The 13,751-nt window shown below is 45.0% G+C and overlaps 1 protein-coding gene across 7 annotated transcripts in view; it reads left to right on the top strand.

Moving 5' to 3' along the window:
- Positions 1-13,751, top strand: part of SFMBT2 (Scm like with four mbt domains 2) — a 252,867-nt gene that overhangs the window by 23,898 nt on the left and 215,218 nt on the right. For all 7 annotated transcript variants that reach the window (NM_001029880.3, NM_001387890.1, NM_001387889.1 and 4 more), the window contains exon 2: positions 5,644-5,794. In NM_001029880.3, the coding sequence (NP_001025051.1) occupies positions 5,695-5,794 (100 nt within the window). In that variant the 5' untranslated portion in view covers positions 5,644-5,694. The remainder of the gene's footprint in view (positions 1-5,643; positions 5,795-13,751) is intronic.

Here is a 13,751-nt window from a genome sequence, read left to right as displayed (position 1 = left end):
TAATTTTCTGTTCCGCTTTGATGCACCCCCCGGCCCACCCAAGCTCGCCTTCCTATCCTTGTTGATATTTGCATCTTGTCCTTCGTGGGATTCCAGGTACATTCTTGGTGGACTTGGTGGTGGTTATGTGTGCGGTTGGACGGACAGACTTGCTTTTAGCAGCCACTTGTCCTTGCTGGCAGCCACTGGTATTTATATGTCTGTCCCCAGTGCCCAACGTGGTGTCTGGCATAAATAAATCAGATGTTCCATTAATACACACACAAGAAAACTGCATGGTATCAGCACTTATCTGTCTGGCATTAGTTTTAAAATTGTATGTGTCTTAGAATTTGCTAAGAAAAGTTTACTGTAAGCTCTTGAGGAAAGCTTTTCAGGAGGAATTAATTTGGAGAAAAATGCTCCATGCCTAGGAGTGTTGAGTGCTCACAGATGACACTGTGTGGGGTCCCTGCCACTCCCTAGTTTAGTTTTATTTCTTTTCATTGCCCCTTCCCCACAATAGGTGCTCAGTTATTAAAAATCGATGATTTAAGTAAAAATATAAAAGTCATAGCTGCATTATGGGAAATGTGGATAATGGGGGAAAGGGAACTGTAATTGACTGGTTAGGGCGTGGTTTCTGGAGCCAGTTGTGTGGGTTCAAACCGCAGCCCCACCACTAGCGGCTCTGTGATGCTGAGCAGGTGACTTCATCCCTTAGGTTGCTTATCTGTAAGATGGGAACAGTAATATAACCTACATCCTAGAGTTCTGAGGATTAAATAAGTGCATGTTTATTATGTACTTAGTAATCACTGTAAGTGTTGGTAAAATAAAATGATCGTAAATGCATGCTTACCATGCTAACACTTCCATTTCTTCTCTTTGGAGCGACAGAAGCTCCTCCTCTTACCAACAGGTTTAGGTTCCCAAGACTGCTGAGAAGTCCATTCATTTTAACTCCAAATCACCTAACCAATGACCAGTGGGTTCACATACACAGAATTTTTTTTTTTGCTCCGACTCCTAGGCTGGAGTGCAGTGGCATGATATCAGCTCACTGCAACCTCTGCCTCCTGGGTTCAAGCAATTCTTGTGCCACAGCCTCCTAAATAGCTGGGATTACAGGCATGTGCCACCATGCCTGGCTAATTTTTGTATTTTTAGTAGAGATGGGTTTCACCACATTGGCCAGGCTGGTCTCAAACACCTGGCCTCAGGTAATCTGCCCACCTTGGCCTCCCAAAGCTCTGGGATTGCGAACCACTCCCCTGGCCCACATACGCAGAATTTTAATTTTTTCCCCACCATAATAAGCTTCTGTCTCTTCTCACTAGGACACTACTATTGCTTTTGTACTTACTGGACAAGATGGAGTTGTGTTCTTTAAATGTCTCGAAAGTAATCACATACCCACAAAATACACACATACACTCAGCACAGGGAAGCCGTCCCTGAGCATGAGCCATCCTGAGATGGCCAGGCTGAAATGTGGATTGTGAAACACTGCTCGCTTTTTATTATTTTTTCCTGGATTGTGGTTTTGCTCTTATCTATGAAAGTTTGAAATCTGAGAGCTTGTAAGGAGAGGGGCTTTTTTTTGTTATGTTTTTTTGAGACAGAGTCTCTCTCCCCCAGGCTGGAGTGCAGTGGCACGATCTGGGCTCACTGCAAGCTCTGCCTCCCGGGTTCACGCCATTCTCCTGCCTCAGTCTCCTGAGTAGCTGGGACTACAGGTGCCCACCACCACGCCTGGCTAATTTTTTTGTATTTTTAGTAGAGACGGGGTTTCACCGTGTTAGCCAGGATGGTCTTGATCTCCTGACCTCGTGATCCGCCCGCCTCGGCCTCCCAAAGTGCTGGGATTACAGGCGTGAGCCACTGTGCCTGGCCAGGAGAGGGGCTTTCGTACTGGAATCCCTCCCTGCCTTAGCTCGTTTGAGTGTTCTCCCTGTGCCCTTTCCGTGCTTGTACTCCTGTGTCCATAGCTCTAAGCTTTTCATGGAGCTGTGTTTTTTGTTATGATCATTGTTTTTGGGGCTCCGTCATATGCCTTCAAGGCCCCTTTCTCCTGGATACATTCTGGCATTGTCTCCTCCCTTTTTCTTCCCTGGTTTACCTTTGTTTGCTCCACGTGTTTCAGTTCCTACCTTTTTCCTTCAGTTGCACACCCTTCTCCCCTCCACATTCCCGGTATTTTCCCTGAGTGATCACTGGAGGGAGAGCTGGGAGAGCTGAGCATTCCACAGTGGGCTGCCACCCTCCGCTCTCCAAGCCCATGCCACCTGTGGCTTCTGGAGTCTGTGGATGCTGTCTCTCTTCCTCAGTGACCACGTGATCCTGTCATCTCATAACCGCGCTTCCTTACATGGGGTAGAGGTGAGGGGTGGAGGGTGCATATCTTACCCTTTGTAATATTCCAGGTACCCTCTGAACATTCTCAGTGGACGCTTGGGTATTTGGTTGGATGGACACACTTGCTTATCAACAAGTAGTTTGTTTACAGAGTGCCTCAGTGCTCGCTCCCTGCATGCCAGGGGCAATCCAGGTGAACTGGGGGTCCTGCTACCCACTGTAAGCTCCAGGTGTAGCGCAGAAGACCTTAGAGTGCCCTTGGCAGGCAGCCTTTCCTCTGCTGTGTGCAGCTCATGGGAGGAAATCTCTGGAACCTTCTGAGACAAGGTGTGAGCAGGTCAGTTCGGTGTTAGGTGATGTTTAGTTCTGTGGCCGCCAATGCAGTGGGTTGATTGTTGTGAAGGAGGTAGTTCCTACGTCCAGATTTTTGTGCCCCTGTCATCACAGGAATCTGGAAGGATTGCTCTTAGAAGAATGCAGCTCTGTCCATCATTCGGAGGGTTCTTTTAGCAAACTGATACCCACAGGGGTAAAATGTAGCCAGCCTCCATAGTAAATTGCTCAGTTTACCAATGTCCTCCGTTAACAACAACAGCAAAAATCTTAGAACCCCTCCAGCTGTTAAAAGGTTCCTTCATTTAGTGTCGATTCCAGCTAAGCTTTCGGAAACTAAGCTCATTACATTGCAGATGATTCACTGGGGATATAAGATAACTTCATTTTTTTTTATTAAAAAACCGTTATTTTCATTATTAAAAACTGTTAAAAAAGGATTTCACTATTTAAAAAATTTCATTTTCATTATGAACGAAGCAAACTCAGTTTGTATTTTGGTTCAGGTCGTTTCTGTAGATACCGTATTTTCTTACACTACCTGCCTTAGATTTAGGCATCTAGAGGGCCACGGTTAAGATTGTGCTCACTCGCTTCCTCCGAGGTGCCCCAGACGGTGCCACAGTGAGCACGTCATGTCCATTTCTCTTCAGGGATGGTACTTATTTGTCCTTTCTGTGGTTGTTTTTTTTTTTTTTTTTTTTTTTTTTTGAGATGGAGTTTTGCTCTTGTTGCCTAGGCTGGAGAGCAATGGCGCGATCTCAGCTCACCACAACCTCCGCCTCCCGGGTTCAAGCGATTCTCCTGCCTCAGCTTCCCGAGTAGCTGGGATTACAGACATGTGCCACCATGCCTGGCTAATTTTTGTATTTTTAGTAGAGATGGGCTTTCACCGTATTGGTCAGGCTGGTCTTGAACTCCTAACCTCAGATGATCTGCTTGCCTCAGCCTCCCAAAGTGCTGGGATTACAGGCATGAGCCACCGCACTCAGCCTTTCTGTGATTTTAAAACAAGCTGAAGAAACTGTTTAGGACCTAGTACACTGCATTTTACCCATAGCTCTCACACTTTAAATCAGGAAAGTCCTGGTTTAAGTTACTTGTATCACTGATGTTGACTTCTACGCCTCAAACCTTGTGCCCTCATTTTTGTCTCAGAAAACATAAGGCCCTGTGCTGAGAAAGTGAGGGAGCGATAATCTCGCATTGACAGGGGCCTTCTCTGTTGCACTGTCATTCCCTTGGCTTAGTCAAGAACTTATCTTTGTAGTAGCAAAATGCCTAGATTGCTGTTTGCCGACCCACTCCGGATAGTTTTATAGTTCATTCTCCGAAACAGGTATTTTCTTTCTTTGTACTGTGGTTGAGAAGTAGCTTCCTGTCCTCTCCACAGTGTCTGGTATAGTACGTTAAATACAACAGGTGGATAGCTCAATGCACTTTGAATTAAATTTCAGTGCTATGTACCTGGTACATTCCCCATCTCTTCCTACTTGTTCCTGGCATGAGTTTCCAGCTTTTTCTCTCCCATTGCACAAATGAGTAACATGCTCTTTCATGAACCTCCTGTTTTTTGTTTATTTAGAGATGGGGGTCTCAATACATTGCCCAGGCTGACCATGAACTCCTGAGCTCAAATGATCCTCCCGCCTCAGCCTCCCAAGTAGCTGGGATGACAGGTGCAGGTAGGCTACCCACTGCACCTGGCATGAATCTTCAATTTTGACAAAACCTCCGAATGTTTTTTAAAAGATATTTTACCACTATGTGAGTCACAAAATATCCCATTGATAGATACAGGTGCATTATATTCTTTTGTTTCTTCATCTCTACTTTCCTGTTGGCTGATTTAAACTTCTCTCTATGTGTGACATAGAACATTGAATGAATGAGAGAAACACCATGTGGTCGTGGTGGTTTAAAAACACCATGTGAGCTGTGTCTGAGCATCGGAGCCAGGTATGGCTGCTCGATGGTTAACGATTACTCCTGGTATCTCCTGGGCCCTGACATAAAGGAGCTGGAGAGTAGGATTCTGTGGGAACCAGCTCTAATGTTGCTGCTTTTTCCAGCAGTCTTATTAGAAGACAAGCGGGGAATAGCAGTGCTATCGTAGGGAAAGTCTTGTCTCCATTTCTGCTTTGTGAAAAAGCACATTATTGACAAACATCGATACTTTAACTGGTTTTGGTAACAGATCATGTGTAACACGTGAGGACTTCTTCCTGAGGCAGGGCACTGCGTGTTGCAGTACCTGCGCGTGGGATGCTGAGGTTGTGTGGGGGGTGGAGGTTGCTGCTACATAGCTTCAAGGCGGGGGGAGTGTCTTACCAATGTTGCCATGGTGGATCGAGGACTGAAATGCAAGTTTCTGTTCGTGAAATATGTGTCCATCTTAGTGGTGATAATGACCTCTAGAACACGGATGGTTTTGCTACGCCGAGACCTTTATTGTTGACCTGTGTAGAGATGTACTCATTAGTCTTTTTAACTAATTAATTAATTTTTTTTTTGAGACAAAGCCTCACTCTGTTTCACAGGCTGGAGTGCAGTGGTGTGATCTCAGCTCACTGCAATCTCTGCCTCCCAGGTTCAAGCGATTCTCCTGCCTCAGCCTCCTGAGTAGCTGTAATTGCAGGTGCATGCCACCACTCCTGACTCACTTTTGTATTTTCAGTAGAGACAGGGTTTCACCATGTTGGCTAGGGTGGTCTCGAACTCCTGACCTCAAGTGATCCACCCACCTCGGTCTCCCAAAGTGCTAGGATTACAGGCATGAGCCACTGCACCTGGCCTCAGTGTACTAGAATACTTATTCCTGGTATTTTCTATTACAACATTATGTTGCATCTTGAAAGTTATAATGAAATGGTAGTGGCACTAATAAGGTTTTTTTTAAACAAAATTAAAAATAAGTGAATATAATCAATATGATTAAACTGCTCTGATTTTTTTTTTTTTGATTGCTCTTAGGTAATTTTTTCTGCAGGATGAATTAAGAGAAGAGACACTTGCTCATCAGGCATGGAGAGCACTTTGTCAGCTTCCAATATGCAAGACCCTTCATCTTCACCCTTGGAAAAGTGTCTCGGCTCAGCTAATGGAAATGGAGACCTTGATTCTGGTAGGATTTTGTTTTCGAGATTCATCTGGATTTTTGATGAATTGATCAATATCTTCCTGAAAGTATTCAGGAAACAATGGGGCAACATTTGTAGATCTCACATACTGTCTGGTTCCTGGGATTTGAAGTCCTATTTATAAGGATATGGCCGCTCTAAAATTTGGGTCAAGATTCTTATTTTGAATACTAGACAGAGAGGACTAGGTTATAGTGCAGCAACACATCACTTCAGAATCTCAGTGGCCTGGGCAGGAAACGTCTACAAATCACCGTAGCATGGAGTCGTTGTGCACCATCCTGCAGGGTTTGTTGTGAGTGAGAAGAGCAGGGTTGGAGGTCTCGGACCAGCAGTCATCTGCTCTGGCTCGCAAGAGACAAATGCCATTTTTGCTCAGAACCCCTTGACAGGAAGTTAGTTGCATGTTTCTGCCACAGCAAGGGAGGTTAGGAAAAAGAATTCCCTCCCAAGTGCTGGAGAGAGAGAGACAGGACATCCAGATCTGCCTACGTAGTAGATGCCGATGATACAGCATCTAATATGTTGAGCACATCTGTCAGAAAAGCATACAGTGTGGAAGGAAGTGAGGTCATGCGGATTGGTGGTGAAGTGCGTCTCCCTTCCAGAAATCTGAAAAACAGAACAGCTCCCTCCTCGGACTCAAACACAGCCTTCGATTCAAATGTATGTATGTATGTATGTATGTATGTATGTATGTATGTATGTATGTGTGTATGTGTGTGTGTGTGTTTTGAGACAGGATCTCACCTGTTGCCCAGGTTGGAGTACGGTGGTGCAATCATGGCTCACTGCAGCCTTGACCTCTTGGGCCCAAGTGATCTTCCCACCTCAGCCTCCACAATAGCTGGGACTACAGGTGTGTCCCACTGTGCCTGCTGACTTTTAAATTTTTTGTGGAGATGGGGTCTCACTGTGTTGTCCAGGCTTGTCTTAAACTACTAGGCTCAAGTGATCCTCCTGCCTTAGCCTCCCAAAGTGCTGAGATTATAAGTGTGATTCACCACACCTAGCCTTGATTGGATTTTAATTATTTAACTAATGAAGTTATAAATGCATAAATGTATCTTTTTCTAAATACTTACACAATAAAGGGTTTATTTAGAAAGGATACCTTTAAAAAAAAAAGGGTTGCATTGTTTATACATACCAGCAAATGACTTAAGGACAGTTTAGTCCTCTGAGTTGTAAACATTAGCTATGGTGAATTCCTATAAAAAATGTTGCGCATTAAGTTAGCAGGTCACTTGACCATGGTCCAAAGAAGTCACAAAGTTTGTCTTCACATTTTGATGAGACTAGTCAATGACAGATTACAGGTTGCTCCATATCATTGAATTTATTAGATTAAGTTTATGAAATTACATCTTTATATGGAAGAAACCCTGGAAAACCCTCACATGAGGGAAGGCCTTACTGTGTTGAAGGGCGTTAGTATCTGTTTCCAAATCGGCTCATTTGTCCCTCTTTCAGATTTTTCTACACATAAACCAGATGGGAGAAGACTTCTCCTGCAAGTAAAGCTGGATCATTGTTCCTCCCTGGAAACATGGAAATTATTTTCTGAGAAGGCATAGTTGTATAGGCTGAAAGTTCATCCTAATTATTCTACTTTATTTAAGTACAGATTTCCCTTTTTAAAAAGTCTTTCCTATGTTTGCTGAGTGAAGTTATTTTTCAAATTCTGGAGTTCCTGAGCTTTCAGGGTATTTTTGTAGTATATCATCTGCACACATCCAACGTGGATTACTGAGTTATTTCTCATGATATGTTTTGGAAACTGTTTAAACACCAACTGTGTATTGGCTTTTCATGTGCACACGGTTGCAGTGTATCTCTCTAACTTAAGTAGTTTCTGAAACTCATTAATGATAATCTGGTGTCGGGAAAATGATTTGTACCGACATTTCGTTAAGGGTGGCTGTATGGATGGCAAGTGTGAGAGCGAGAATCATTATATCCTTGGCTGGGGGAGTCCATGCAGAAAACCCATGTATACTCATGTTGTGATTGGTTCCTTGCTCTTGCATCGGGGATGGCCTAAATCATACAGGATGTTCAGATCTTTAATGGAAATACTATTTCTAAATGGCTCTAAATGATCTTAACATTTTTCAGATATTGGCTCAGATTTTTCTCCACCCCCATGTGGCTAATCTGTCCTTTCGCCTTGGGATTTCTGTATTTACTTGTGCGGTGAGGAGAGTTTTAGATGACGATACAGACTCTTTAAAGAGGACACACATTTAAAGCAGAGTCTAAGACTTTGCAGAGGACAGTGGCTGGATTCACTTGAGAAACTCAAATCTAGTTTTGAGCATTTTCATTCCACAAGTAGCTTATTTTTTTTTTACTAAAATCTAGTTTTGAGCATTCAAACTATTAAGTATGATTCTACAAGTAGTTTATTATTATTTTTTCCAATCTGCTAACCCACAAAATATTTCCAGTCCTGGAATCACTTGGTGAGATATTTGGTTCTGGGACCAGCTGGGACAGGTTTGGGGCTGTTGCAGAGTCTTAGTGCTGAAGGTCTTCTCCTGGGAAGCATTTTCAGATGGGACTTACTCATCCCACGTACAGGAGGAGGCAAACCCAGTGTTCTTTAGCTGGTTCTGAACTGACTCGCGATGATAGGTGTATGAGTTCAGACTGTGTGGCAGGCACAGAAAATGTTAAGTTCTTTGCGTGTGTTAATTCACCTAATCCTTCAACAGCCCACTGGCATTCAACAGCCCACTGGCATAGCTGCTTTTATTGCCCCACTTTCACAGATGAGGAGACTGGACGACAAGGTGAAGTGACTTGAGCCCTGTGTTAGAAGCAAGATTTAATTTCAGGCATTGTGAGGCTGTGGAGTTGGTGCTCTGAAACCCTGGGGGGCACCTGCCCCTTCAAGTGCACAGATGAGTCATCAGGAAATCCCAACAGCCTCCTACCCACCCATCCATACACTCACACCCACACTCACGCCCACCCCACAGCCACACACACCCACACTCACACCACCCCACAGCGACACACCCACACTCACACCACCCCACAGCCACACACCCACCCCACAGCCACACACACCCATGCACACACCCGACCATCCACCCATCCACACATACACCCACACACACCCACACTCACACCCATCCATCCACCCATCCATCCACTCAACCCACACTCACACCCACCCCACAGCCATACACACACACACTCACACCCATCCATCCACCCATCTATACATACACCCCCCCACACACTCATACCCATCTATCCACCCACCCATCCACACATACACCCACACACACCCACACTTACACCCATCCATCACCCATCCACACATACACCCACACACACCCACACTCACACCCATCCATCCACCCATCCACACATACACCCACACACACCCACACTCACACCCATCCATCACCCATCCACACATACACCCACACACACCCACACTCACACCCATCCATCCACCCATCCACACATACACCCACACACACCCACACTCACACCCATCCATCACCCATCCACACGTACACCCACACACACCCACACTCACACCCATCCATCACACATCCACACATACACCCACACACACCCACACTCACACCCATCCATCCACCCATCCATCCACCCATCCATACACTCACACCCACACTCACACCCATCATCCACCCATCCATACACTCACACACACCCATCCACATACACATGCACACACACACTCACATCCATCCATCCACCCATCCACACACACACTCCCACCCATTCACATACACCCCCACATTCACACCCACCTCCCCCCCACACACACAACCCCCCCCCACACAAAATTTTGGGGGTACAGACACAACTTAGATTCTTTGTTGTTCTTTCCTACTCTTTCCTCCCGTGCCACCTCCCCTGTGTCCCGTGACACATTTCTACAGGGGTTCCCAACCCCCCGGCCACAGATTGGTACTGGTCCATGGGCTGTTACGAACTGGGCTGCACCACAGGAGGTGAGTGTCAGGTGAGGGAGCTGAGTTTCATCTGTATTGACAGCTGCTCCCCATTGCTCACATTACTGCCCGAGCTTCACCTCCTGTCAGATCAGCAGCGGCATTAGATTCTCATAGGAGTGTGACCCCTATTGTGAACTGCATGTGCCAGGGATCTAGGTTGCACGGTCCTTATGAGAATCTAATGCCTGATGATCTGTCACTGTCTCCCATCACCCCCAGATGGGACTGTCTAGTTGCAGGAAAACAAGCCCAGGATTCCCACTGATTCTATATCATGGTGAGTTACAGTATTATTTCATTATATAGTACAATGTAATAATAATAGAAATAAAGTGCACAATAAATGTAATGTGCTTGAATTGTCCTGAAACCATCCTCCCATCCCCTGTATCTGTGGAAAAATTGTCTTCTACAAAACCGGTGCCTAATTGTCTTCCACAAAACCAGTCCCTGGTGCCAAAAAGGTTGGGGACCACTGTGTTACTGTCTCCCTCGCAAGTGACTACACTCAAGTGACTAAAGTTTTTCCTTGAGAAAATTATGGGATCGAAGAAAGGAAAATCAAACCCGCTTGGGGTGTTTTCTCTTTTTTTTTTTTTTTTTTTTTTTTTTTGAGATGGAGTCTCGCTCTGTCTCCCAGGCTGGAGTGCAATGGTGCGATCTCGGCTCACTGCAACCTCTGACTCCCTGGTTCAAGTGATCCTCCTGCCTCAGCCTCCCAAGTAGCTGGGACTACAGGTGCCCGCCACCATGCCCAGCTAATTTTTGTATTTTTAGTAGAGATGGGGTTTCACCATGTTAGCCAGGACGGTCTCGATCTCCTGACCTCGTGATTTGCCCGCCTCGGCCTCCCAAGTGCTGGGATTACAGGCGTGAGCCACCACACTCGGCCGGGTGTTTTCTCTTATGTTTGTTTTTTTTTTTTTTGCCACTGTCCACCCCGAGATGCTATGAGGCTATGATTCCTTGCAGTGATGCCCCCAAGAAGGAAGACTTCAGCTGGCCTCAGTCTCATTACCAGGCTTTTTTTTTTTTTTTTTTTTTTTTTTTTTTTGTGGGAGGGCCTTTTTTTTTTTTTTTTTTGAGACAGAGTCTTGCTCTGTCACCCAGGCTGCAGTGCAGTGGTGTGATCTCCGCTCACTTTAAGCTCCTCCTCTCGGGTTCACGCCATTCTCCTGCCTCAGCCTCCGCAGTAGCTGGGATTACAGGTGCCCACCACCACGCCTGGCTAATTTTTTGTGTTTTTAGTAGAGACGGAGTTTCACCATGTCAGCCAGGATGGTCTCGATCTCTTGACCTCGTGATCCGCCCACCTCAGCCTCCCAAAGTGCCGGGACTACAGGGTGGGGGGACCTTTTTCTAAGGAAAGCTCAAATCACAGTTGAGATCAATAACCGACACCCAAGTCCTGTAAATGAAATAGGCACAATATAAAATTACTCTTTCTCCCAGGAACACTGAATATGTGATTAGAATAAGCCCAGGGAGAGGAAATAGCTCAGGATCTGTGGCCTCCCCAGCAGACACCATAGACAGCATCATCCCAGGGGACACCAAGAAGGAAGTGTGCGGAAATTCCAATGCTGGGATTCCAGGCGTTGTCAGTTGCTGTGATAAAAGCAAGCAGAACAATATGCTGACACAGTGTTCAGTAGATTCCTTGACATTCTTTTTACAGGCTTGCGACGTGAAATTTCCTGATGAAGTCTATAGATAAAGCGGTGTTGCACATTTAGACAGGGTGAGCCTCAGTGGAGAGAATTATGCTGAAAATGTGAGCTTGATTCTTCTTCTTGGCATTTGGTATTAACTGGAGAACCACAGGCTCTTCTATTTGGGAAGGAAAGGAATCAACATTTTTCTTAGAAAAATTCAGGCCTCACTCTTCACGCTGGGAACTGGTCCTGTGTGACTCAATGGTATTCCCTTTTTTCCTTAACCCTCCTTTGAATAGCTGTGGCTTCCCCTGGCTAGGTGATTTGTGTGTGTGTGTGTGTGTGTGTGTGTGTGTGTGTGTGTGTGTGTGTGTGGTTTTTTCTTTTCTCCTAGAGTAACTCTGGCCATCGGGTAGTTGGATGAGTCAGGAGGACCTTTGTGCCGTGAGGACTGTCCCTGCCTGTGGGGTGGCTCTGCAGTTGTGAGCTCAGATTCTAGGCAGGTGGCCACGGTTCCTTTCTGAGTTGTTTGCACAGATGCTTCCAATGAATATACTCATGGTGGAACTAATTTCTAAATCTTAGGATAGTATTAAATGACTATCAGTATTTACAAGAAGAAAGACTTAATGTCTTCTTTCTGTCTCTTTCCACATTAAAAAAAATATCTAGCATCTAAGAAGGTGCTCAGTAAGCATTCACCCTGAATCTGCCAATTCCCGGTTCCTTTATTGGTGTAGTGGGCACAGGCTTTAATATTCAGCCTTGTAAAGTCAGCCTTGTTTCAGATTGTAAAATTGTACAAACCCAAGATTTTATTCCTTAAACAAAGATGTATGGGCCGTTTGTTTATTCCATTTTTCACTCTCACGTCACTTACACTCCAGCTTCTAGTAAGGTATAGTGAGGTATTCTTTTTATGTTTCTTATGAAATATTCTTGCCTCATAAATAGCTTTCTGTTTTCTAAAACTGGATCGCTGCTAATGAACACTGTTTTCTTTTAAATTGTGAAATTTTCTTCGTAGCTTTTCCTAGTCGGTTTTCATGACATCATGGGGAAATACTTCCCACTGGTTCATTTACATGGAGGGAGATTGTCAGAATTTCCTTGATAAAATGTTTATGGGTTTAAGAGGTTTATGAATCAGCTATAAATATTTGCTCTGGGTTTATGAGACCTCTCCCCATAAACATTTTGTGTGTTTTTCTATTGCTCATTGAAATGTCTTTGGAGAATCAGCTCCTTGGGGCACATAGGCCTGGGGAAGGGTTGTACGTGACCCATTTTAAAAGGCTGTATTGTGAATAACCGTAAATTTTGTGCTTGACTTTGTTATAACGCACAGTTCAAGTCATCAGTGCTGGGCATGAAGGTTTGAGTTTTTTTAAATCCCATTCTAGGTCTGACTTTTGGTTACCTTTTTAAGTGTTTTCTTTAGACCAGCAGAGAGGGACAGAGCTTAGTGTTCTACTGATTCCTGCAGGGGAGACACAGTGGCACCCTCTGACCTCCTGGTTAACTTGACTGAATGAAACCATGTGCACTGAAGTCTGTAGAACCCTGTATATTGGGAAATGTAGTTGTAATGAATTAAAATTTGACAGAAACAAAACTTTTGGTAAAATTCTAATAGTATAGATTAGAATTGTATGGAGAATAAAGAACTGCAACCAGCGGTCTCAGTGTTGAGGCTGAAAATTGGAGGCTCTGGTCTCCCCTGATCTGAAGTGATAGAATCATCGAATCTTTGTGGGTAATGGGATGGGTCACTAAAGCCTCTCATCCCAGGTGCTGGTGACTGCAGGCAGTTTCTGAGGTTCCGCCTCAATGTGCGTGTTTCCTTTTTTTTGTTTTGTTTTGTTGAGATGGAGTCTCGCTCTGTGACCCAGTCTAGAGTGTAGTGGCACCATCTCAGCTCACTGCAGCCTCCACATCCTGGGTTCAAGTGATTCTCCTGCCCCAGCCTCCTGAGTAACTGAGATTATAGGTGCATGCCACCACCCCTGGCTAATTGGTGTATTTTTAGTAGAGATGGGTTTCACCATGTTCACCAGGCTGGTCTTGAACTCTTGACCTCAAGTGATCCACCTTCCTTGCCCTCCCAAAGTGCTGGGATTACAGGATGAGCCACTGCGCCCAGCCTCGATTTGCATGTTTGTGATTTGCAGGAAGGAGTCACCCAGGACAACTTGTCCCGTTTTTCAGCAGCTATCATTCTCGGAGTCCTACGTAGAACCTTGTGCCTCCTTCGGCCCAGGACTGAGTTTCATGCCGATGTCTTC

This window comes from Homo sapiens, chromosome 10 (assembly GCF_000001405.40).
Source record: "Homo sapiens chromosome 10, GRCh38.p14 Primary Assembly".
NCBI classification, from domain to species: Eukaryota; Metazoa; Chordata; class Mammalia; order Primates; family Hominidae; genus Homo; species Homo sapiens.
Note: the sequence above shows the minus strand (reverse complement) of the source record. Positions and strands in the feature narration are given on the sequence as shown.